Source organism: Homo sapiens, chromosome 1 (assembly GCF_000001405.40).
Source record: "Homo sapiens chromosome 1, GRCh38.p14 Primary Assembly".
NCBI classification, from domain to species: domain Eukaryota; kingdom Metazoa; phylum Chordata; class Mammalia; order Primates; family Hominidae; genus Homo; species Homo sapiens.
In genome coordinates, this window is record NC_000001.11 from 112,301,530 (window position 1) to 112,327,281 (window position 25,752).

Below are 25,752 nucleotides of genomic sequence, written 5' to 3' on the forward strand. Positions count from 1 at the left end.
AGGGCCCGGCCCAAGTAGCCAATCAGCATGTCTACTCTTCTCTTTTCCTCTGCTAGCATTTAAGAATCTTCCTTCCATGGGGTAAATAGAGAATGAGGTCATTATGACTCTAGATAGGAGTATGCATCTTGGGGTCAAACAGGCATGGTTTCAAATACTCCTTGCCACTTCTGGCTATGTGATCCAGGGGCAAGTTACTACTGTCTTTGGCAGTTTACTTCTCTGGAAAAGGAGGATCCTAATGCCCACCCCATGAGGATATTTATATACTGCACTAGCACCATGTCTGTCTTAATAAATGCAGTTTTCCCCTTTTTTCTTCTTACCACTATAGCACATGAGATAGTCACCTTCCTGGAGCCTGCCAACAAATCCCAGAAAGCTAAACAGAGTTTCCAGGCTCTTGTTGTGCCACACCCCCATAACCCAGAATTAATAATAATAAGTATTGCTGCAGTTTTTTGGGTTTTTTTGTTTTTTTGTTTGTTTCCTTGTTTGTTTTGAGACAGAGTCTCGCTTTGTCTCCCAGGCTGGAGTGCAGTGGCACAGTCTCAGCTCACTGCAACCTCTGCCTCCCAGGTTCCAGTGATTCTCCCACCCCAGCCTCCAGAGTAGCTGGGATTACAGGCTCATGCCCCATGCCTAGCTAATTTTTTGTATTTTTAGTAGAGATAGGGTTTCACCATGTTGGCCAGGCTGATCTCGAACCCCCAACCTGAAGTGATCCACCCACCTCGGCCTCTCAAAGTGCTGGGATTACAGGTGTGAGCCACCACGCCGGGCAACTGCAGTTATTATTATTTATCAAGTGCTTGTTCTGGCTCAGACACCATGTTCAGTGTTTTACCCATATTGGCTTACTTAATTCTTACAATAGCATAGAACTATTAGCCTTATTTTGCAGATGAGATAACTGAGGCACAAAGAATTTAGGAACTTACCCAAGGCTTTACAGATAATAATGACAGAGCTGGGACTGAGTTTTAAAGCCAGAACTCTTAACCTAACTAACCTCTAACTAACCCTGTGCCTATTTCCCACTACGGACCTGGGGGCAAAGGCCCTTGCTCTTCATCATGCCTGCAATGACACTTCCCTGAGGATGGAGGGACTGAGCAAGCTGGGAAGCACCCTGGCCAAATTGAAAAGACCAGATATAATCATTTATGCAAATGCCAGGATTCTATTCGCTGAAGAGGTTCCAGGTTGAGTTACATTTGAGAAGCTGGAGAATGTGGATGATCCTGGAGAGCCGTTTAGCATACAAAGAGATATTAACCCCTGCCCAAAAAGCCAGGCAGCACTGAGGATATTGAGAAAACTTACTCTGCGTGCAAACTTTTCAATTATAGAATCAGCCAGTGGGATTAGTAGTAGGAATGAATGTGAGGTGTGGAGTCCCCCCTTGCAATCTGGAGAGGAAAGACTTTAGTGTGAGGCCTCTTTCCAGAGCAACTCATGGGTCATGGCAGATGAAGTGTCTCATAAAGGTCTGGATGCCCATTGCCCAACACAGATCCCTGCCCTTTGTAATGTTCAAGAAGGATAGCTGGAATAATGAACAAATCAACAAAATAATTATCTTGCCAAAAGGTAACAAAGAATCTGGAATGTTTCCCAATACACCATATCTTAGGAGATTCTGAGAGAACCCCAGTCCTTAGGAGAGACTTGAAAAAAGAACTTCTTGACTGTGTAAAATAAGAAATAGATGAATGAAGAGTGAGGGAGGATATGCCAGCTCTAAGAAAGTGGCTCCTAAATGTAAGGCCAGGTCCAGAGGAACACCTTTCCTAGAAGCAGGGAGATGAATAGAATGGCATCTGCCATTGGAATCCTAAAACAATGAGAGATTTAACAGCAAAGCGTCAATCTAAGTGGAATATAAGATGTTAGCACTTGATTTTCTAACATACTTAACCAGATGCTGAAGTATTAGAAAAATCAGAGTGGCCCACCCCCATCATTCTCCTGCTCCCGCACCCCAACCCCATCCAAAATGTCAGGAGTTTCTCATCAAGTGACAATTCTACAGGACCTACCCTGAAGCAAAGTCCACACTGGTTATACCTGTGGGACAATTCTCATCAGGATGTGTCTGTTTTCCAGCTCTGGGCCCATATTTGTAAAAGTCCTTCTCTTCCTAGAGCTGATGGTCACTTTAGAAAGTAGTGAAAATAGCTACAATTCAGAGGGTGCTTACTAAGTGCCAGGAGCCAGGCCGAGGGCTCACACGAATTATCTCATTTTATCCTCAGAATCAGCCAATGGGATTTGGTATATAACTAGCCCTATTTTACTTAGAAAAACCCTAAAACTAAAGAAGTTAAGAATTTGACTTAGATCACATGATTAATAAATGAAGAATTTAGAATTGGGAAACTCCAAGGCACTGAAATTTCCCCCAAATATTATGCAAAAGACAAACCAAAATAGATCATAAAGTAAATGTAAAGAAATCCGCAAAGTTCTTTCTTTCCCCATGATTGTTTTAAATAAAATGTTTTTAAATACTTCATTAACGATTGAGTCATGTACCAGGATACAAATTCAGTTCTGTCTATTCCAGGCCTGACTTCTTAACCCCTATCTTTCGTTAGTAAGAGAACTTTGCTTTTTCCCAGCATCCAGAGCCTCCAAGCCCTTCCAAGAGGACCAAACATTTGATTTTTCTCAGAAGAGTTAACAAAGTAGATACTACAAGGGGTTGGGGCTGATGGGGAGGGTGATTGAGGTTGCTTGAGTTCAAATCTTAGGAGATTACAGAAAATCTGCTGGTTCACCAGCCACTTGGACGCCTTATCTGAGCCAAAGTAATCACTTGCAGAAGAGCAAACCCATCCGTCGCGCAGCCAGTGTGGGAAGATGCTTTTCTTTATCTTTACCAGAGCTGAAGAGCTTTTGCCTTTGTAATCAGCTTCTGTGAAGGAGCTGACACTCAGGCTTGGCTAGGGGAGCCCAGCAAGGGCCGGGGCCCACAGGATCCTGTCATGGTGGAGAATCTAGGGGTGTTCTGGTGCCGCTTTCCTCACACCAGACAAGCTGAGTTCAGCTCCAATTTGAGGGCCAGACTTCATGGATCCCATGAGGTTTTGATCCCCAACTGGGATGTACAAGTCCAAAGTAATGGGATGAAGAGCTCAGGTGAAATGACATGGGGATATCAGATGTGCCAGACTTCGTTCTTCATTCTGTATTTAGTGTAGGAGGCACTTCCTGTTGAACTTGCCTTACCCCCACCACTCCTCCACCATCACAGGCCACTCATTTAAGGATCAGCCCTGTCACTCAGAGAGGAGCACTCATGTGCCTGTGTTTGTGGAATGTGACCCTGTCCCCTATTGGCAGCTGATGGACCAGAGTGAGCACTTAACCTCAGCTGTGCCAATCACGCTTGTCTTCTATAAATGTGGACATGAAGAACTGGAATATAGTTTGGCGCCACTGGAGCTTAGAGAGAGGATTAATGCCAGGGAAAGGCTGACCATATTCTGCCATATATACAAAACAGCAGAGAAAACTCATCTGCCAAGAAAGAGGAAAATGAAACAGGTGCACAGGGGAAAGGAGATGAGACCACGTAACTTGGACAGTAGCTGTCCCAGTTGCTGATAACTTTCGAATTCCTGGCTCTTGACTCTAATGAAGCTGAGCCTTATGTCCTGCCCTTAGGTCTAGGCTCATCTCCGCCCCATAGAGTTTCCTTCTTCCTTAAGCTCCTCTGAGTCTCTTTCTATTATCTGCAATCAAAAAAGGAGTCTTGAAAAGCAATTAACATTATCATTCTGATTAGAAGTCTACTACTGGTTATTGAATACCTATTTTGTGCCAGGTACAGTTCCAGAAACATTGCCAGTGATTTATCTCACTTATCATCTTCATCAGCAACATCATAAACATTAGCATCAAAAAGTGTTTACAAAGAGCCTGCTTTTGTGTAACACTCAGCTAGACACAAAAGCAGAGATACCAGTAAGGTCCACGTCCCCTGATAGCTTTCTAGATGGGTATGCTGATGTTAAGACAAATGTACAGGGCATTAAATTAAGACATGAAGAGACAGTCAGATATTTGCCTCGTTATCAAGAGCTAGGTAAGGATAAGGAAACAGCTGATAAGGAAACAGCTGAGGGTATTCTAAGTGGAGAGTGAAGGGCTGAATCCCAGGTAAGAGAAAGCTTCAAGCTTGCTCAATTTGGACAAGGAAATATATAGAAAGGAACATAAAAGAGGCTGCAGGACTGAGTCAGTTACAGGGGCCATCTTTACCCATCAGGAGCACCTGTTTGGTCTGTGAATCCAGGAAGAATTGAGGGGAGACAGAAGCAGGCAGCAGGGCTGGGAAGGCTGAGAGAAGAAGGACCAAAAGAAACCTTCAATGTTGGTATTGATCCCCCTGGCAGATCTCAATAAGCATCTGAGATGCAAGCAACGGAGTCAGCAGACAGCTGGTAGGAAAGAAAGGCTGGAAGAGATAAACATGCAAAGTAGAAAAGTAGAGACTTATCTCTATTTTGAAAAGAGAGGGCCAAAGTGATCTAAAGATAAAGGAAAGAGGCTGAAGAAGAAAAACGAGATAAGAACAGAGGGTGCAGGGTGGGATCAGAGGCAGGGAAGGCCAAGGACTAAAAAATGTAAAGAGGGACAAAGAAAAACAAAAACTGAATTACAGAGGGTCAGAGATAGAAGCAAAGAAGGCAGGGCTGAGAGATACATGGGACAGAGGGTGTACAGAAGGAAAAGACAGAGGAACATTAGTCTAAGCTTTGGAGAGGGAGAATGGGAGACCAGCAGAACCCTTGAGAAACGGGGTGCTCTCCTGGCAGACCTTATCATCGCCCTTGGAGACATTTCCATTCTCTTCATATTTCTGGCTGGAAATCTTTTAAGAGTTTTTTTCTCTCTTCCATTCTGTATATAGATAGCTAGGCACTGTGCTTTGTCATTCTTCCAAACATCTCTGACATTCGCCACTCTCACATCACTTTGGATGACTGATGCTGAGCTTGGCCCTGCCTCTGTACTCTCTAAATGGTCTTTATCCCATTACCAATAACAATAATCTCTCCCATTTACCTACTTTTTTACAACGAACTTACAAAGTGACCCTGATCCTATAAACTGCTCTGTGAGCTAACATTATACCCATTTGAAAATCCATTCATTCATTTTTAAAAAAATAGGTCTTGAGAACACTTCTCAGTTCCATGCTCTGTGCCAGGGATTCAACACTGAACATGATGGATACAGCACTTTCCTTTGTGGAGCTTAGAGACCCACAGCAAAGATATATACTATACAACTAATTACAACTGTGACAAGCACCACAAGAAAGTAGTGGGTGCCATAAAGAAGTATGACAGAAAACCTAATTTAATCAGAATAACAGGGCAATAAAGTTTCAGCTGAGCTCTGAAGCAATGGAGAAGCTGACAATTGGAGAGTTTCTCAGACTTGTCCAGGGTCTAGAAGCTTCAGATCCGGGCTCAGAACTGTCCTCTTCTGAATGTTAGTACAGTGCTCTGCCCTCCTTGTATCTGTGCCCTTGGGGTAGACCATCTTGACATATACAGGAGAGAATCCCCTGTTCCAGAACTTCAGTGGCTCTCTCCAAGCCTATCACATCAACCCAACTCCTCTGCTGGATCCCCAGGCCCCCATAATCTAGCCATACCTTACTCATTCACCCTTCTTCTCCACCATTCTGCAGTACAGGGCCTGCATACAAGTTGATCCATCTCCCACGGTCCCTGGACATGGGGCATTCTTGACTCCATTTGCATATGTATTCATTCACCCAACACTCTTAACCTCTACCATGTGCCAAGCAGGTATCCTGTTCATGCTATTTCTTCTACCTAAAATTACATTCTCTTTACTTTTCACTAATAGAAATCCTGCTTACCATGAGTCTTATCTCCTCTTCTTTAAATCCTTGACATTTTATAATAAAAGGAATAAAGAACCCAAAGTCAGAACACTCATGTTCAAGTCCATGTATAGCTTAAATTTTCGCAACCTCAATTTTCCCATCTTTAAAATGGTGAAATAACTGCCCACAACAGAAATATTGGCATAAGACTCAAAACTCCAAAATAAGATACATTTCTGTATGAAAGCACTTTGTCAACTGTGGCACAAATTTAAGGAAAGAGAGATTAATTCACACCTGGCTCACTGGAGCTCTCTCTTTTCCACACTCCTGTCCATGCATACTTAACATCAAGCACTTATGTTTTCTCCACTTGAATCAGGGTGTTGGTTTTCCCTCCTCAACTAGATTACAGAGAGTTTAAGGGACAGAGAAATACCATACTCTTTTACATCCTCTGTGGTGCCTAGGGGAATGATAGGCACTTAGTAAGTATTATCTGGGTTTGTTAATTGAGCTCTCCTGAAGTGTAAGCAGGCTGTCCCAAGAGTATCTATCCCAATACAACATGGAAAGGGAAAAGGCAGACAGATGAACTCACACTTCAACTTAATCAGCAACTGTCCAGAGCTAACATATTCCAGGCTGTAAAGAAATGGGCATTCCTGTTCATGCCATCTGACCTCAGGCTTCCCATGCCTCAGAGCTGCCAGGAGCCCTGATGCCACCACACCTTGGAGATAAGAACCACCAGCCATCAGATTGAGATAAGAACCACCAGCCACCAGATTGATTTAGGGACGTAACTTGCTTTTTCTAGCAATTGCTGGAGTTTCTCTTCCCTTTGCTAGCCTAGCTGAAGCCTTTCTATAGCCCTAGGATTCTAGCAATAAATTTCCATTTAGCTATGACAAATGACTGCTGCTCCTGTCTCCCTCCTCTCACCCGCACCGCCTTGTTCTGAAGTCTCCTTCTCAGAGGTAGCTCAAGGGCCTTTCCTTTATGTGGCAGTGGCAGGTTCTGCCATTTACAATCCCCTAGAGATGGTCTCATTCCAGAACAGACTGATTGTGACCCTGAGGGGAAGAGAGGCTGGGATGGGAGACAGATGAAGAGAAGAGGAAGAGAAAAGCTGGGTTGCAAAGAAGAGCCTTCCCTAGGTAAAACCCTTGATGACACACAGCACAAGCAGGAAGAGGAAATTTGAATAATAAGAGGCTAATGGCAGAGGGGGAAGGCAGAGGGAAAAGGAGGAAGAGGCAAAAGTTGTTCATTAGTTGCATTGATTCAAGGGGAAAGACAAGTGATTAAATAATTCGCCCCCAAGGAAGAGGCTCCTGTTCCTGCTTTCCTTCCTTGGCAGGAAGCAGAGATAATTTCTTAGCTGAGTGGCTCTGCCTTTCTCCATCTGAGCTGGGGTTCATAAGGGGAAGGGAAGCAGGGCCCAGGAGTGGGACTCCACAGCCAGCTCTCAGCAATGCATACTAATGAGGGAACAGCTGTGGGGTCAGCGTCCAAAGTGGATGATCCCCAAATCCCTTCTCTCCCTCTCTCAGGGATTTATTACGTGGAGCATAGGTATGCTGAGCTCAGTTAAGCCTAACCTTAATACGTGGCCTAACATAAAAGCCTGTATTCCCTGAGGCTAGGCGATGTGACTGAGGGAAGTGGGAGGAAAGAAAGATGGATAGCTGGAAACCAACAGGGGCTGGAAAGTTTTACTTCTGCAAAGTAAGCAATCTTCATTCTCAAAGGCAAAAGTCAATGTGACAATACTCAGAAGGGAGGGAAGTTAGGCATTTATGTTGTTCCTACTATTGTTGATTATTGATTGACTAACCAACGTGTGTTGTCCCTCTGTTATTGGCCAGGCACAGAAGTGCAGAACCAGGAAGACACAGTCCCTCAAGGGTCTCTCAGTCTATCTAGAGGGACAAAGTGTCAACAAGTAATTTTCTTCCAATATAGTAAGGGCTGAGATGAGGCGATGTAGAGTGAGTGAAAGGGTGGGCCAAGACTGAGGCTTTCTGGAAGGTTTCCAGAGAAGGAGTGTGTTAGGGCCTCTTTGTGTGGCTGACTTTGTCGGACGGAGTTGATTCAGAAGTTGCCCCTGGTCTGCTGCCCCTGGATGTTCTAGCCCACACTCCTCACCCAGTTCACAAATTCATGGAAGGAGTCTGTGAATGTGTGTGGGCACACATAGCTGTGCACTTGTGTGGGGCAGCTACTTCGGGCAGCTGCTTCTTAACTGTACTTTGGCTGTCTTCCCACCTATTTCCTTTTGCGACCCTGTGATTGGCTCACACCCCAGGCCCTACCTGCTGGCGCAAGGTGTACTCAAGGCACTTTACAAGAGAACATGGCAATCTTAATTAAAGCCTTCCTCGACACGGATTTCCACAACAGAATTTTGGCCTGCCAACTCAGTACCATGTTTTTGGCAGGTAACAGGCAACTTTTAGAGGCATTCTTTTTCAATGCACTCCTTAATATACAGAGTCTTAAAATAAAGTACAAATCCAGCCTGGGTAGACAAGAGGGCCCGGCTGCCCCTGGGATGCTCCTGCCCTCAGAGAGAAGTAGGAGGTGGGCTCCTCCCCAGCCTTCTTCCCCCACATTCTTCTCTCATTTTTGGCCAGGTGCATCCACTTCCTTTACCAAGGATTTGGTAGCAGCTAATTTGAAGAGTAAGAGCAAATCTTTTGTCTGTAGAAAGTATTCCAGAGGGAACTGAAAATTAGTAACTCCCAAGTGAGCTGAAAAAGAATTTAGGAGGTCAGATAATTTATTTCGAATTTCCAGAATGACTTCATGCTCTCCCTCTTCCAGTCCAGTGATTTCAACTCCTGCTTCCCAGGTAAGCATTGCACCTGTGGGGTCTTGCAACAATTCCTGAAGAGTTTTGCCTTGGCTCTGCTTCCTCCCTCTGTGGGTATGTACTTGATGGGCAAACCCCACTTATCTAGGATGGAGAGGACACCAGCAATGTCCCTCTCTGACCTAATTTTTCCACTCAACTTCCAGAATCGCACCAGACTTCATTTCTCCATTTTCTCAGATGAAGCATGTGGTTTGACTACTCCCTCCACCACACCCCACACACTAACGTACCAAGGTCCCTAGAAGGCAGCCCAACAGGTTGATCAAATTTAACCAACTTAGCAAAAGTTTAAACAAGAAGCTCTGAACATTTACAAATGGTAGCCTCTTCCCTCCCAACAGTTGCAGCCAAAGGTGCCAATGGCCATTTAAGAAACTGGACTTTTCCCAAAGTAGCTGCCTTGCACATATGCACAGACAAGTGTGCACACACATATACACAGAATCCTTCCTTGACTTGAGCAGAAGTTAGCAAAGGAAAGGGGGCATGCTGAGTGTGGCCAGCAGGGGCACGGCCATGGATAAGAGTAGAGATATAGACTGGCCCTGACAACTGAGAGTTTCTTACACCATTTAGTCTACACTTTTTGGCTGAAAACAATTTAAAATAGCTGCCAAGTTCTAAATTTGGGATCCAAGTGTTAGGAGTTGGGGATCATTGCAAGGTCTCCCCTTTCTTGATACTCACTTTCTCTAAGAATTGAAGTGTATAAGGGACCTGAGATATCATCTAAGCCAAGGTCCTGAGGCCCAAAGATTTTAACCAAGTCAAACTTAGTGTAAAATCTAAAGCAGACTTCCAGGTTCTGGCTCCCAGAACCAGGCTTTTGTACCATCACACAGCTACTGGTTCTTCCAAATTAGGGATGGCAGAGAGGAAAAGGAAGATAAAGACTGACAGAAAGACATTCACAATAATAATCAGAAGGGCTATTTTGGGACCCACCCCCAAGCACTGTTGCAGAAATCAGTCACAAAGTATTTATTGATCAGCTACTATGCACTTAATGCTTTTCAAGGCGTTGTGGAGAGTGCAGAAGAGAAATAAAAACAGGGAAGCACCCAGTACAGTCTCTGGTCCTAAGTCACATCACAGGCACTCATTAAATGATTGTTGTCTTCCATTAAGCCATGATAATGCTGACCAATATTTATTGTCTGCTTACTGTGTGCCAGGGACCCTGTTCTAAGCTCCTGACATGCATTTATTTATCTCATTCCATCCCTTCCACAACTTTAGAGGTAGGTACTTCTTCCTACCATTTTTCAGATAATGAAACTAAAGTGCAGAGAGGTGAAGCCCAAGGCCATACACCTAGTAAGTGGTAATAATATTGTGCATTCAACCACCAGATTATGGAAGATGTGAGACACCCACATTCTATATCTCTGAATCTCATTTGAAAATGGGGTAGAATACTGACTACCTCACACAGCTGCTGCAAGGATTCATCAGATCCTGCCTAGTGGGCTTCAACACTCACTCTCCACATTGTGTAACACACCCCCTTCTCTCTGAGAGCCCAGCATAGGGGAGGAGAACTAACACACACACATGCACGCACACACACACACACACACACACACAACCAAAACCAAACAGTGCCTCCATTTCCTTACCAGCAAAATGAGGACAATGCTATTATTTACCTCATAAGGCTATTGTGAGAATAGACTGCATAAGACAAAAGAGTACTTAAAAGAGAGCTTGGCACAAAGTATGCACTTAGTAAATGTTAGCTATTCTCATTATTATCCTCACTATATCATCATCATCATTATTATTGGTTATGGAAATTTACTACTACTAGACTTCAGAAAACTGGGCTGGAGTATTGGAATCGCTTTATGAAGGAATGGATGGTGAAATGTTGCTAAGAATCATAGGGGCACTGAGAAGAGATGTTGTCTCAGACGAATAGGAGCCAGGGACGCAGGACTCTAGCCTCCTCGTGGGCAGGGGAACATTGGTCTAGAACTGGAAGAACTTGCACTGCTTTCCCCTCAAACTGTGGGCAGTGGAACCTGTGGCACATTCTTCCTGGTGGCCTCGGCTTGGGAACACTAGCCCTGGGGAGGGTGACTGACCTTCCTGAGAAGAGATCAAACCAGCTGGCTCCTAGGCTCTTGGAGAAGCAAGGAGTCTGCATCCTGGGAGCCTCACAGAGCCGCTCCATGCTGCAGCTCCTGCAAAGGGCATGATGCAGGACAGCTCCCCAGATGGAGACATAATGGCACTTCCGTTCCCACTCCTCCACCTCCCCTCAGCCCCGGCCACAGTGGCAGCTGTTGCTGGTTGGACGTGAGATTTGTATGCTGTTTACAGTGCTGCCTTTTTATTCTTGAACCTGAAAGCTTTACTGGGTATTAAATTCCAGCATCAGACTGCTGTTTGTGCTCCCAGGTGAAAGAAAGAGAAAGAGAGCTTTAATACTGTCAAAAAGTGGGGCCTGAATCATCTATGAACGGGCATCACAGGAAGCCCAGAGCCGGTATTCGGACAGGAGTTGCTTCCAGAAGGAAAATGTTTACTGTGGAAGGTCCAGCTCTGCCCTCACCCATCAATCCCTAAGCCCTTGTTAGCAGGATTACATGAATTGTTCCTTTCATTATTAAAGAACATCCTGGTGGTGGAGGATGTTGTGAGAGGAGGCTGCCCACTACGTTAGGACGGAGCCAGCTCCAGCAGTTATTTTTCTGTGATAAGAGAGAACCTCTGCTCTGGCTGCCGCAGCTTATTTAGCTTTAGCTTTGTTCTTGTTGGAATTTTTAAGACCACTTGTGACTCTCCAGGGGCTGGCTGAGCCACCAGCGGGTGGGCTGCTTCAGTGAATCAAACCCAGGTGGATTGTGGAGCTCAGCCACTTTTTCCAGCCCCAACCTCAGGTGAGGAAGATGCAGATTCAGAGTCAAACAGCTCCTAGGATATATTTTTTTCCTTGGAGCCACTAGCTCAATCCCTTCCTTAGAAAGGCTATCATCGCAGAATGTTTCATTTAGAATCACGAAATTGCAGTGCTGAAAGGAACAGGAGAAAAACAGAACAAGAGTTAGCATCGCGAGCATCTGGGGTAGGTCCTTCTCCAGACCCAAACCACCCCTCTCCTATTCATCTCCAAGCATGTCTAAAAATGTTTAGAATAAAAATGCAACTTTCATTCCTCTGCACACCTGGAAGGACTTTGTAATTCCCAGCCACCATGAACTAGCCACCCACTTCTTATGTATACCCTTGGAGTAGCTGAGACAGTGAAGTCCAGAACAGACAGGCTATCCCCAGAAAGGTCTTGGCAGTGCTGGTCTCCAGCACAGGTTGGTGTCTGCCAGTACCCCTCTAAGGAATACTGCAAACCCAAGGAGGACCAAGAAGCCTGATATCAGAGCACCGGGCAGGACTCTTTCTACCTCTGGGGAAAAAGGGTGATTGGTGATCTCCCTATTTGGTTGAACTGTCAGAGCTGTTGGGGAGCTCATGGTGGCCATGTTGGTGATGGCACCTCACATCCCAGAAAGCAAGGGCAATGGCTCATGCTCCGGCTCTGTCACTAACAAACTATGGGACTTGGGGAAACTTCTAGACGAAACCTCCTAGACAAAAGGAGTGACGTCTCCTAAGAGCTCCTCCACTCTGTGATTCTGGGTGGCCCTCTCCCCTGGGCCGTAAGTCTCCTGGGCCTGGGTGGTGACTTGTGGGACCTGAAGGGGTGAGGAGAGGGGGAGCAGCAGAGGTATCTGTCTACCCTGCCCTGAGGCCCATGTCCCCACCCTTAGCAGGAGCCTGGTGCCAACAGCTGGATGCTAAGGACAGTTACCCACAGATGCCTCACAAGCTGGAGTGAGTTTCTGGCAAGGAATGTAATGTTCCAGCAGCAAGAACATCAACAACCTCCCCTCAGGGTCTGGGGTCAGGCTGGAGGAGAGTGTGATGCACCAAAGTGCCATTCTTGCCTGGTAGCTGGTTTACCTCTCAGAAGAAAAAACTACCCTCCCCACTCTCCCTACTTTTTAGGCTGGAGGCTGCCTCCTAAAAAGTCCTGAGGAGAGATCGAGACCATTCTGGCTAATACAGTGAAACCCTGTCTCTACTAAAAATACAAAAAAAAAAAAATTAGCTGGGCTTGGTGGCGGGCACCTGTAGTCCCAGCTACTTGGGAGGCCGAGGCAGGAGAATGGCATGAACACAGGAGGCAGAGCTTGAAATGAGTCAAGATCGTGCCACTGCACTCCAGCCTGGATGGCAGAGCGAAACTCCATCTCAAAAAAAAAAAAAAAAAGTCCTGAGGAATGTTCGCCAAATGCCAAATCCAAGCCAATTTGGAGTTCTGGTGATGTCCAGTGGCGTCTCTGGTAGGCAAAGAGAATGCGGAGAGAGGGCTGAGTGTTCTAGGGGCTGGGAGGGCAAGAGCACAGAGCACCCGGCCAAGGGTGAAGAGCATGACCCAGGGGTGAGTCCTGCATCCTAGGATGGCCCAAGATGGGAAGCCAAGGGGGCTCAGGAGGCACAAGAGTCTGATGCCCAGAGTGAGGGAGCATCTGGGCAGAAATATAACGCTTGCAACAAGAAGATTATTTTAGCAGGAAGCAGAGCAATACACAGAAAACTGTGCCCTGGGAGTTAGAACTGAATAGCCGTCTGCCAGCTTGCCCCACATTAGGCCCTCAGTTCATCCTCTGAGAGTACACCAGGTCAAGAGAATCCCCAGGAGGCTGAGCTACACATCACAGAGTTCTTTCCAGCCAAGGTGCGCAGAAAGCTGACAAATAGCCTACTCTTCTAGAGGGAGCGCAGTGGGGAGAAGAAGAGGGAGCTGTTGCTTTCAGGTTTCGAAGAAAACATCTATTGAGGGATCCGAGAGTGTCTTCCTGTTTCTGGGCCTGAGTTTCCTCCACTGTCAAATAAAGGAGTTGGATTTGAGAGTTCCTCAAGTTCCTTCTAGCTCTGACATTTTGAGAGTCTGTGATTATTATAAATAAAAGAGATGTTATGCAGTAATTTGTCTTTCGGCATCAGGCTTGTTTCACTTAGCGTAATGTCATTCAGATTCATCCATGTTGTCACAAATGACAAGATTTTCTCCTTCTTTTTAGGGCTAAATAATATTCCATTGCATACATAGATCACGTTTTCTTTATCCATTCATCTGTTGATGGACACTTAGGTTGATTCCATACCTTGCCTACTGTGAATAAGACTGCAGTGAACATGGGAGTGCAGATATCTCTTCAACAAACTAATTTCATTTCCTTTGGATATCTACCCAGTAGTGAGATTGCTGGATCATATATTTTTAAATTTTTTCTACTTTTTAATTTTTTTGAGGAACCTCTCTACTGCTTTCCATAATAACTGTACTAATTTACATTTCCACCAACAATGTACAAGAATTACCCTTTCTTCACATACTTGCCTCTAAAAAAGCCAAACTCACAGAAGCAGAGAGTAGAATGGTGGTTGCCAGGGGTTGGAAATGGTGGGGGGGTTCGGGGGAATACAGTGATGTTAGTTAAATGGTACAAAGTTTCAGTTAGGCAGAATGAATAAATTCTGAGGGTCTATTTTACAGCATAGTGACTAAAGTTAATAATCATGTATTATATACTTGAAAATTGCTAAAAGAGTCTATCTTAGATGTTCTCATCACAAAAACATGATATGTGAGGTGATGTACATGTTAACTTGCTTGATTTAACCATTTCATCATATGTACACATATCAAAACATCACATTGTACACAATAAATATATACCATTTTTACTTGTCAATTATACCTTAATAAAATTTAAAACAATAAGAAAAAACAGAGAGAAGAGACAAAAAGAGGACGGTAAGAAAGAAAAGTTTGAGGGAAAAAAACAGTAAGATAGCAGAGGAGTGGGGAGAATTGGCCACTTTTTAAGGCAGATGAGCTTTGGAGAGTGGGATAGTGCCCTTGGTTGCACTAAGAGGAATTAATCTTTCAAGGCCTAAAATTTCTCTGTAAAGCCTCAGCCCTGGTTGCAAGAGGTCCCATGTTGATTAGAGCCCTTCGACTCTAAGCCTAGCGATTGCTTTGGAAGCACCAAGCAGACCCAGATTCCTACCCTGGAGAACTCAACTCTAAGACCAGAGGACCCTTGAGCTCTAATTACACTGTCTGCAGAAAGAAGCCTGAGTGGTTCCTGAGCCTGTGGCCACAGCCCAAGTCCGTAGCTCATGCCTAAGTGGGGCAGGGCTAGCCCAGGCGGGAGGATTAATGACAGTGATTGAATATTTTATAAGTGGAATATTGTGTATTTTCCAAAACCAAATGGAATGTCATTTTTTTCCCCCAAGAGAGATGGGGGATGTCACTGTCCTCATTTCCCATTCAAACCACATATTCAGTGGCAAACAAGATGAATGGGACTTGGAGTTTCCAGGGGAGAGGGCAGAGACGGAAAGGGAGGAAAAAAATTCTTTTTCACTTTTTCCTCCCCCTGCCAGCCTGTCCTCACGTTGCTGCTTTCCTCGTCACCCAGTATTTGAACCCACTGTCCCCCGGACCACTCCAGCTGCCAACCAGGGATTACATCCCCTTCCCTGACCCCTGAATGGCCTCTGTCCATAAGGAGATTAAGTCACAAGGTCACCTAATCCATCCTTCTGTTTCCAAGAAACACAGGGTATGAGACATGAAAAACTTGCCGGAAGATCTTCCTTCACGTTCTTAGCCCAAGGTCTTATTTTCTTTCTGTATAACTTCCTTTGGTCTAACTGAAGTCCGTCTCATTGCAGATGAAGGTCGTGCCCTCTAAATGTTGACTTTTGTGGAGAATGAAATATAATTGCCCTCCCTCCTTAGGGTGGAAGCTCTGCCTATTCTTCATATGAAAGTCTTGGGATTCAAGTGCTTCAGAAACCCTGGATCTATCATTGCCTCCAACTCACCCTCTTGAATGCATTACTGGCCTGTGCAAATGCAACTATTTGATTAGTGCTTGAGTGGTGAGAGGCCCCTTCCCTTCTCAACACCCTATTATATGCTCCAAGGCCACCCACATGCTCCGCTGCTTTGCATTTGCCCTGCAATCTTTCATGCCAGTTGACTTTTCATCTCCAAATCCCTTTTCACATTAAACACAAACCCACACACTCTGTCCCATTTTCCTTTGAAATAAATCATAAGCCCATGCCAGAAACGACTCAGGGTGTTCTCTGGAATTTGTAAACAGCATTAAAGTCTTGTGGGAAATGTCACAGAGTGTTGGTCTGAATTTATTAAGTAATTTCTCAGCTTAAAATATATCTTTCCAGGCTGCTGTCTGACAACATTTACCTCTAATGGAATTTTATCCACTCTTGATCACTAAACTAAGCACACTTCTATCCCAGAGTGCAGATTCCTGAGCTCTTCCTGTTCGGCTCTCAGTTAGGTAGGTTTCAGACACACTAGCCGTGCCCCTGCCTTTCAAAACCACTTGGAGCTGTAAGTGCCCAGCTATTCTCTATATCCGAGGGTGCCAGCACACCATTACACCACATGTACATGGATGCCACTGAACTTACAAACATGTTAATAACATCCACATTCAGCACTCGCCAGAGGCGGAACCAGGAAATGTCTCAGAGAAGGTTCTTTCTTCCTGCCAAATCTCCATCAGCTCCCAAGCTACCCCAAATAAACATACTTTTTAAAACAAAACCATAGTTGACTGTACAAAGTAACTACAAGACCAGTTCCGTTGCCTGCCTCCTCTTTTCTCAACCAGTTGTCATCTGTTAAGCCCCTCCTTTGGAGAAATGTTGGCACTGTCCTTGGGTCATTTTGAATTCTAGTTTCAATCAGTCAATTAAACAACACATCTATAAAGAGCAGCTGTTTTGTACAAAGTTGAAATTAAGTGAGGGAATGAAGAGGCTGTCAGCTTATGTCTTTCCCAGATCCATCCTCTTTCTGTGGCCTCGGGCCTCGTTGGTTCCAGGACTCATCCTAACCAGGGCAAGAAGCCGTTTCAGCAACACAAGCCCAGCACTTGTTGGGGCCTGGCATGGGTCATAATACTCTAAGCCCAGAGTCCAGGTTAATTAACCCCAGGCCTTGTTACAACTCTGAATGTCAGTGTCCCCTACCCTGTAATACACAGAAGATAGTATAACACACTGGTCAAAAAATCTTCATCGTGGAATCAGACGGGGTTGGAATCCAAGTTCTGCTACTTACTAGCTGTGTGGCCTTGGAAAGGTTGCTTAACTACTCTCTGCTTCAGTTTCCTTATCTCTATAATGATGATAATATTATGCCTGCTTCATAGGGTTATTTTGAGAAATAAAATTCTAGATGTAAAAATGCATAAAATAATGCCTAGATATTCTTAAATAATGAACCATTAATCATAATTAACAAAAAGTCATTATTACTTATCATTATTAAATGCTTGCTACCACTTTATTGTTTGGCTGGCAGTGTACCCTTAGCTTCTTGTCTTCTAATTAGACATACCAGTCCCTCTGTGTCTATAAACCATTTACTGCCTGGTGACTGGAGAGAGGCTCAGGAAGTGGCTGCCCAGGCTGGATATGCCCAACACTTGCCTCCAAATATGGCTCTTCTCCTGGTACTGCTTTGAGGATGCAAGAACACATTCAGCTCTCAAGAGGTTTGCATTTCTGGAACTGAAGGTAAAACTGCCCACCCTGCCTTCTTCCTGAAAGAGTGCCAGGAGTCCCCTCTTCGTGGCTAGGCCAAAAGCTCCCTAGTGGCAAGTGTAGAACCAGGGCAAAAGGAATATAAGGTCTTAGTGGAAAGTGAAACTGGTTTCAATAGCCAATCTTAGAATGGAAGTTTAAAGCAACAGTTCATCAGAATATTATAAAAGTGCCAAAAAAAAAAAAAACTAGTAAGAAACAAGAAATCTGAGACAAAATATAAGTGAATGAAAACCCATAAGGCCAGGTTAAGAAGCCAAGTATAGAACTGAAACTTTGAGAGTATTCCTATTAAAAATGTTGTCTTGTTCTGGAACATATGTTCTGTTTGAACATACCCGTTCTCTGTTCTAAGAATATACTGATGAAATAGATGGAAATCGCAGGTGCATGTGCTGGCAAATGTTTATTGGTGTTCCTTTTTATCTGGACTCAAGACAGTACCCAACCTTCTGTTTGACAACATCACCTCAAACATGTTACAATTAATTATACAACTTTTCTTCACATCACATTTTAATTTGGAAAGACGTGGGAGACATCTTTGTTTCTTAAGAAGATTTGCAAATTAATCTAAACTCACTGAAAATACATTTACAAACTCACAGTGGGTTAGTTATATGTATTCTAACCTCGTTCTCATTTTTCAACTTCAAAGGATGGTTTTCTAACTGTGTGTCTGAAGTCTAGAGGATATTTTGAGTCATTTGAGAGATGAAATAAACTATACATTTATTCGTTTACTTTATACTTTGGATTTTTAAATAAGCATAAAGAATATGACAATTTAAAATGTTTCTTCTATGTCTTAAACCCTGATTAAAGCAATGGAGTGAAAGAATGTTCCTACATGTCAAGACAAGCACTCAGGCAGTGGGCGGAAGGCAGGACTCTGTGCTGGGCATGTCAGTGAGCAAGCCTGACCTGGGAGTCCGCGTTAGGGCTATCAAATCCAACAGTTAATGAGTAAAACTACAGAAACAACAGAGAGCATGAGGACAGGTAAGAAGGTCAAATGCAAACTGGTCAGAGCTGAAAATAAACCTAGGATTAATTATAAGTGAATTAAACCTACCAGCTCAAATGAAGTAGCCAATTTTGCATTTGACATGTATATTTGTTAGTATCATTTTTATAGGTGTGTGTGCAAAGAGAACTTATTCTATTTGTACTTTGTCAACTTTCATAGGAGACTTCTTATTCTTTAAAAAAAAAACAGTATTTTAAAAATTCATGTGATATTTCTTGTCAGTAGGGTTGGTTTTGCAAGTCATACCCCTGGGAAGTTGTTTTCAAATCTTGATCTGCATCAGAATTACTGGGAGTCTCTGAGGCAGGAGGGCTGGGTGTCTGCATTTTGTACACATTTCTCAGTTGAGTCTAAGGACCAGTAACGCTTAAAAACCATTACCCTAGAAAACAGCTCTGTCTTCCTCTACAGCACGTGAGCTACATGACTAATTGCTACTTAGTGCTTTTATTCTCTCACTTCTCTCTTTCATTTCTACTTAGGAACTCATTAGAATATAAGGAAAGTCACCTGGTTATTAGGAAGAACCTCCTTGAGATGTTATCCCTACCTTCCAGTTACTTACCAGGAGAACCTAGTAGGAAGACAAAGCATAGACATGGAAGTTCATTACTAATATAAGCAACCTGGGATGGGGTAAGGGTGGGAATGTCCTGTTGGCACATATCTAGAAGTTTAGACAAGCAAAAGATAGGGGTACTGTGACTGGAGATGACTTTGTAATAAAAATGAGTCTTGGGAGTGCTAAAGGATGGGTAGGGTGTACAGAGACAAGTACTTGGAGGAGTGTTGCCGGGTGAGAGAAGGCTGCAACTTGAGGTTGCCGAGCAATTATCAGGGTTCCTCTTTGCTGTGATAATATGCTAATTAAAATTGTCTTCAGCTTCCACAGGCACTATCTAGTTAATGCTCAAAAGGGAGGAATTTTTAAAAAATGAGTCCATAAAATTTAGTACCAACTTAATTTTTATTCATTGTGAATCAATGCAGAAACCAAAATAGACCTAACACATCGTTGTTGAGTGTGTTTTGGAATCACGACACATTCTTGGCTGGAATCAGAAAGGTGTTAAAACTAAAGAGAAGGTCCCAGGTCTGCAATTCCACTTGTGCTTGCACTTCTGCCCTTGGCATCTTCTAATAGGAACATCTCCAGGAACAGGAAGTCAGCAAAACCCATTAATGGGTATACGGTAAAGCTGCAGGGCATATATACAGTACCACCCTGGACCTGGGTAACCAGGACCTCTGCCCTTGGCTCCACAGTTTAGAGACCCCTGTGGCCCACCCCTCTTCCCTCTTATCCCTTCCTCAAGGGTGATGAGTCCACAGGTGAAGAAACATGCCCTCCAAGAGCCTATGAACTCCCTTGTAGATGACACTCTGGGTACTTGGGACACTGGAATTCCCTGCCCTTCACAGGCCACTTCCACAGGTCCATATTTCCAAGGGCAGTCAGTGCCAAAAATATGCACACCCCTCATACCCACTTGTACAAACATAGCTTGGACAAGTGGGTAAAGGCCTTAAAGGATGGATGGGTGAGAGTTGAAGTCAGCAAGGGAAAGGGCTAGGAGATGGGGTGGAGGGACCTCAATTTCCACCCTTCCCTGGACCGTAGTAAAAATATTAAGGAGGTCACCAAAAATCCCAACCCCTTGGGATTTGTGACAGCCCCTTTCTATTTCCTGTCCAAAAGTCAAATATTAGGGGGCCATACCCTACATCCTATGTTTCCATGGGGAAAGGGGCATGCCACTTCATTCCCAGGGAAAGAACAGTAAAACTCTCTCCATCCTCTCTCCACTCCCTCTGGTTCTCCCCAAAGGAGAAGAAATGACCTATCTTATTGGCGAAGTTGGAGAAATGTTTGTGAATGCATAACTCAGCCCTTCCTGCATCTTATAAACCCTACCTGCCTGTAGCCATCACCTTTTCTCCTCCATGTGGGGATTAGGTCCATGCAGGGATTAGAGGGAGGCTCAAAACTTTTCCATTCTGTGAATGATATATTTGTAGATCCAATTCAGGGAGGATGAAGTAGAAAGCCTGTATGTGGCCACAGATCTGACAGCAATCGTAGCTGTCTCCAGCTGCAGACCCAGCGTCATCTTCTGCATGTGGAAATGGACCGGCAGCTCCACAATGCCAAGTCTGAGATAAGCCACGAGGGTTTTGATGGAGAATAAGACAGTAGGAAGTGAGAAGGGGAAGGAGACAGGAAATGTCTTATCAGTTTAGGAGGGAAAATAACTAGAACAAGGGATGACGAAACATGGGGAACAAACTGTAAAGGGCATTCGAGGGCAGTTGAAAGAAATAGCTTTGTCTGGATAGAGTAGAGGAAAAGGGGATTGAAAGGGAGATAGTAGGTAGGGGACATAGCATTAGTGGAATTTAAGTAGGCCGTGAAGCAAAGGATTTTTAGGTACAAGAGAACCTAAAAGGGCTCTGGAAAATGCAGATAACGTGCATAGGAGTAAAGGCCTGGAATCTAGTGATCTTAAGGGCCAAGAATGACTGCAGGATGTAAAAGTTAATCTATGTTAAGCTTGGTCAAACTGCATCTAATGAATGACTAAGTTGAATGCATATAATATACCTATTTCTATCTGTGCATGCCTTGAAACCTGGAGCTCCTCTCACTATAAGGAAGGAGTTTGTACAATGAACAGCTGATTGAACAGAAGCATGCTTTTGAACCTGGATGAAACCACAGTGCAGAGCTCAGTCACAATTTCAAAATTAAAGCTAAAAATGACAACAAAACTCTCCAAGTTTCTGTAGCTGGAGGTGATGGAGGTGGCCATTGGGGCTGCCAATTACTGCCAGATGTCCTGTTCTTTTATGCATACTTTTAGTTATCTAAATTAAATGATGGTTTGGCAGGGAGAGATTATTTCATTTTGTGTTAGAGTTTCCTGTCCGCACCTTGGTTTAATTGAAGACACCATGGGCTGTCATATAACTAATACTGGAGTTCATCATACTACACATTTGGGATGGTATGAACCCAAAGCTAGAGACAAATTAATATACAAAGGCTTGGATGATGTGAAAATGGAAAACAAAGAGAAATAGCTAATAGTTATTTCAAGAGAAGAAAATGTAGATGAAAAAAAGACATAGAAACAGAAGCAGGAAGATTTTTTTAGTTGGAAAGAAAGAAGGAAGGAAGGAGGATGAAGTAGAAAGGAGGCAAGGAGGAAGGGAAGCAAATGATTGGGTAGATAAACAGGGAATAGAGAAAGGAAAGGAGAAAATAAATGTTCTGTAAGTAAAAATATACGCATGAAACAAGGGTATTTTCTCTATTTCATTCAACCTCTTTGTGGTTGTTTTGTTTTTAAAAGCAGGGAATATCAAACAGCTGTTTTTACAGCTTCTGTCACTTTGTCAAAGCCGGCCTGCACACTCTGACTGCCAGGCACACCCAGACAGCATGCTAGTGGCAAGGCGCTCTGGTGAGCAGATGGGCCAAGCCTGCAGCCACACAGAAAGGTCAGTGCTGATGCCCATCAGGCCCCTCAGGGCTAGAGCCGAAACCAAGACCCTGGGAACCTGCTGGAGAGAGATAAGCAAACACTCAAGGCAGCATTTCTCTTCCAGATTAAAAAAAAAGAAGAAGAAAGAAAGAAAGAAAAAAAGAAAGAATTTGCCTAGAGATAATCTTCACTCAGTGCAAGCAGCAAAAAACTCAATGTCAGATGACATGAACTTAGGCCCCAACTCTGCCATTTCTGACCTATGTGGCCTCAGGCTGTTTGTTTTGCCTCTGAAAGTCTCAGTTTCCCCATTTATGGAATAAGGATAATACTTCACAGGGTTTTCACAAGGATTAAACAAGGTAATAATATGGCTCACAGCCTAGAAAATAGAGGCCCGTGGTCACTATGTTAAAAACTCATGTTTGGAAAAAAGAAACCAACAAATATAGATGATAGACAGATGGAGGGAGGGTGAGAGATTAGATAGATAGGTTGACTGACTGATAGACAGGTGACAGATACATAGATGAAGGAGATCCAGGAAAGTCTTTCAAATAAATTTTTGGTTTCTGATAAATGTAAGAAGGGTCTTCTACTCTCTTCCTCTCCTCCCATTCCTGCCAGTAGCAGCCAGGCCTCTTGGAAATCACAAAGGTGATTCTCCTTTCCAAGTCCCTTCCCAAACAAGCCCTCCAGTAGCACTGCTCATGGGGAAACACTGCCACGTCCAACAGAGGTCTTTATCAGAAGCCCTCAAGGAAGGGGCTTCCTCCCCTAGTGGTCTGTTCCCTCCTAAGAGTTATTGCACTACTTCATGATGTATCTGTGATGGGATGGGAGTAGGGGACACATAGAGATAAACAGTAGGAAGAAGAAGAGATGCGATCTCAGAAGCACCAGCATGAGAAGGCAAGAGCAGCATGTCTGTCTCTCCCCCAACAAGCTGGTGAGGTCGAGGGCATGGTCAAAGGTCAAGGAGGATGTGCCTGGAAGAGGGCCCTTTCCTCACAAGACCATAGCTTACCCAAGTGCCTCTTTACAGGGCTCCTGCCAGCTCACCAGCACCCTCATCTTTATCATTATCATCCCAGAGCAGAAGATTCCAGAAGACAAGTGAGCCTTTTCTGCAGGGCCTGGAGAAGCACGCAGTGTCTGCCTCCTCACTGGGCACTTGGCTTGCCAGTCTGAAAGCATGGCCCTTGGCCTGGCCTCTCTGAGACACTTAGATGATAAATAGAGCCTGCTCTCACCACCACCTGCACTTGGGCCCACCCCAAACACTTAGCCAGGAGCACGATGGTTAAAATTATAAATCAAGTTAACAAACTGTTAAGAAAAATATACTCTACCCTCCTACCTTGATAAATATACCTTCATAAGCCTGAGAAGTTTAAATTTAGAATTTCCAGGCTCCTGGGAGCTTGCACTGGCAAATGGAGCTATGGAGAAGGATGACTTCCCACCCCCAGGCTGCCCCCCACCTCTTCCCACACTGGGCTCTGTCTTGCCCTTGAGGGACCTCACACACATGTGGACACCCAGCCCGCATGTCCAAGCTCTGTCCACAACCCCAGTGGGACAGTCCATTCTCTAAAGGAAGTACTGAGAAGAAGCTTACACAGACTCAGGAGCAGGTGTGGAGCCATTTGGCAGGGAATTGCAGGTTCTCAGGTACCTGAAGTATGGTGTAGAAAGAGGGTCACCGTCCTTGGGTGGGTGTATCCTCCTGGCCTTAAGGATTTATTGCCCTTTGGGGAGGAATATGGCTGGAAGGGGATTACAGCGGGCAGGTCCAAAGCAGAGGTCCCTATGCCCAGATCCTTGCTGTCAGCATCCTCATCAACATCATGCCCTACACCCAATAGCATTCTCATTCCCATCCCAGGCAGTGTAGAGAACATTACCATTGGATTCGCTGCCTGCTTGGGCCCTTGCTACACCCTTCCAGCCACAGTTTTACCAGCTTCAGCCAGGAACTCGAGTTTCTCAAGCCCGAAGCCCTTTTGGGAAGAGACTGCAGGGGCAGAGAGAGGAGAGCCAGGCTGGAGACTGAGGCAGGTTTGAGTGGAGTGATGACTCCTGGGGCAGGTCCCATTGTTAAGGAGGCCCCCCACCAGATTTAATGGAGCGTTTCTGCTGTTCTTTTCACAGTGTTGTGGCTCTTAATAGGCTCCCCTGGCGGGCCGTTCAGAGCCCACGCTGCCTCTGAGCAGCTGCTGTGCTGAGCGAGAGAGCAAGCGGCTCGTTTGCAGACCACGTGCCTGTCGCCTTCTTAGGAAGCCATCACGGCACGTCCTGGAACAGGCTCCCGAGGAGGCATCACAGTTTAGCGTAATTCGTCAACTTCACAGCTGCTACTTGGGAGGGAGGGGGCCAAGGAAGCCAGCGCCAAGCCACTCAGGAATCTCAGTAGCATTCCCCAGGCCAGCAGAGAGAAGGTGAGCCCCAGCAGGAGTAGGCAGAGCTTCCAACGTGCTGCTAGCTTCACCTCCAGCCCTGGCCAAGATCTCTACTTGCCCTGAGGGTGCCAGCAGACTGGAAACTGAGGGAAACAGCTGGGTCTTCAGGGTCAGAGAGAGTGGATTCAAGCCTCCTCATCATCCATAATCTATGTTGTAACAAGCTTTTCGGTGATTCTGATGCACACTAAAGTTTGAGAACACCTGGTCAAGCCTCCCCCACCCCCACCCCAGTGGTCTCCCCATTTCTCCACCTTGGCCTCTCCCTAGGATTACCCTGACCTCCTGACAATCTAGCAACTAAAAAGTCAGCGCCTGGCACAAGAGCAAGCTCCAGGACCTTGCTCCAGCTGCCTCCATTCTGTTTGGTCAGTGCCCATTATTATACCATATGAGGTCTGCCTATCCCATGGGGTTGTTGTGGGCATTAAATAAATAATGCCTGTAGGGTGCAAAACAGAACACCTGGCATAAAGAAAGCACTTGACTGGTGGAAGATACTTTGATGTTATTTTGGGGGTCTCTTACTTTCTTTGCAACCTCTGGATGCACAGTTCTGCCCTGGGCCAATTTCCCCTTTCTTGTCTTCCTTCCCTCTGCGGCAAAGAGCCAGCCTGCTTGCCGGCTTCCAGTGGTCACCAGAGCTTCCTCAGCCTAACCCACCTAGGAACATCACAGCATCTCTGTTTTCCACCCCATCCATCCTATTCCAAAAGAAAACATGTAACCTCAAAAAGTTAATGTTTTTTGGATTTTTGTTGTTGTTGTTGTTGTTGTTGTTTTGAGATAGGGTCTCACTCTGTTGCCTTGGCTGGAGTACAGTGGCACAATCATGGCTCCCTGCAGCCTCCATTTCCATCACCCGGGCTCAGGTGATCCTCCCACCTCAGCCTCCTAGGTAGCTGGAACTACAGGCGCACACCACCACACCCAGCTAATTTTTTGTAGAGATGGGGTTTCACCATGTTGCCCAGGCTGGTCTTGAAATCCTGGGCTCAAGCAATCCATCTGCCTTGGCTTGCCAAAGTACTGAGATTACAGGTGTGAGCCACCATGCCCAGCCTGGTTGTTTTTTTAATAGATTGTTTTTTAGAGCAGTTTTAGGTTCACTGCAAAATTGAGCAGAAAGTACAGAGTTCTCATGTATTCCCTTGTCTCCACACAAGCACAGCCTTGCTCACTATTGTTTTAATCAATCAACCTACATTGACACATCATTATCACCCAGAGTCCATAGTTTATATTAGGGTTCACTCTTGGGGTTGCAGATTCTATGGGTTTTGACAAATGTAGAATGGCATGCATCCACCATTATAGTACCATGGAGAGTAGTTTCACTACCCTGAAAATCTCATGCT

The 25,752-nt window shown here is 44.8% G+C and overlaps 1 long non-coding RNA gene across 2 annotated transcripts in view, besides 2 other annotated features; it reads right to left on the reverse strand.

The window, feature by feature from the left end:
- The window catches only part of LINC02884 (long intergenic non-protein coding RNA 2884), a 130,935-nt gene that overhangs the window by 71,857 nt on the left and 33,326 nt on the right, over positions 1-25,752 (reverse strand). The gene's annotated exons all lie outside the window — the stretch shown is intronic.
- Positions 17,713-18,912: an enhancer, noted in NCBI's record as "MED14-independent group 3 enhancer chr1:112861864-112863063 (GRCh37/hg19 assembly coordinates)". NCBI's record gives its function as "activates an origin of replication core promoter dependent on BRD2, BRD4, P300/CBP and CDK7 cofactors, and independent of MED14, by STARR-seq in HCT116 cells {active_cell/tissue: HCT116}" and the evidence as "EXISTENCE:reporter gene assay evidence [ECO:0000049][PMID:35650434]".
- Positions 24,200-24,699: an enhancer, noted in NCBI's record as "H3K4me1 hESC enhancer chr1:112868351-112868850 (GRCh37/hg19 assembly coordinates)". NCBI's record gives its function as "activates a minimal SCP1, AML or CMV promoter by ChIP-STARR-seq in naive H9 embryonic stem cells {active_cell/tissue: H9 hESC(naive)}" and the evidence as "EXISTENCE:reporter gene assay evidence [ECO:0000049][PMID:30033119]".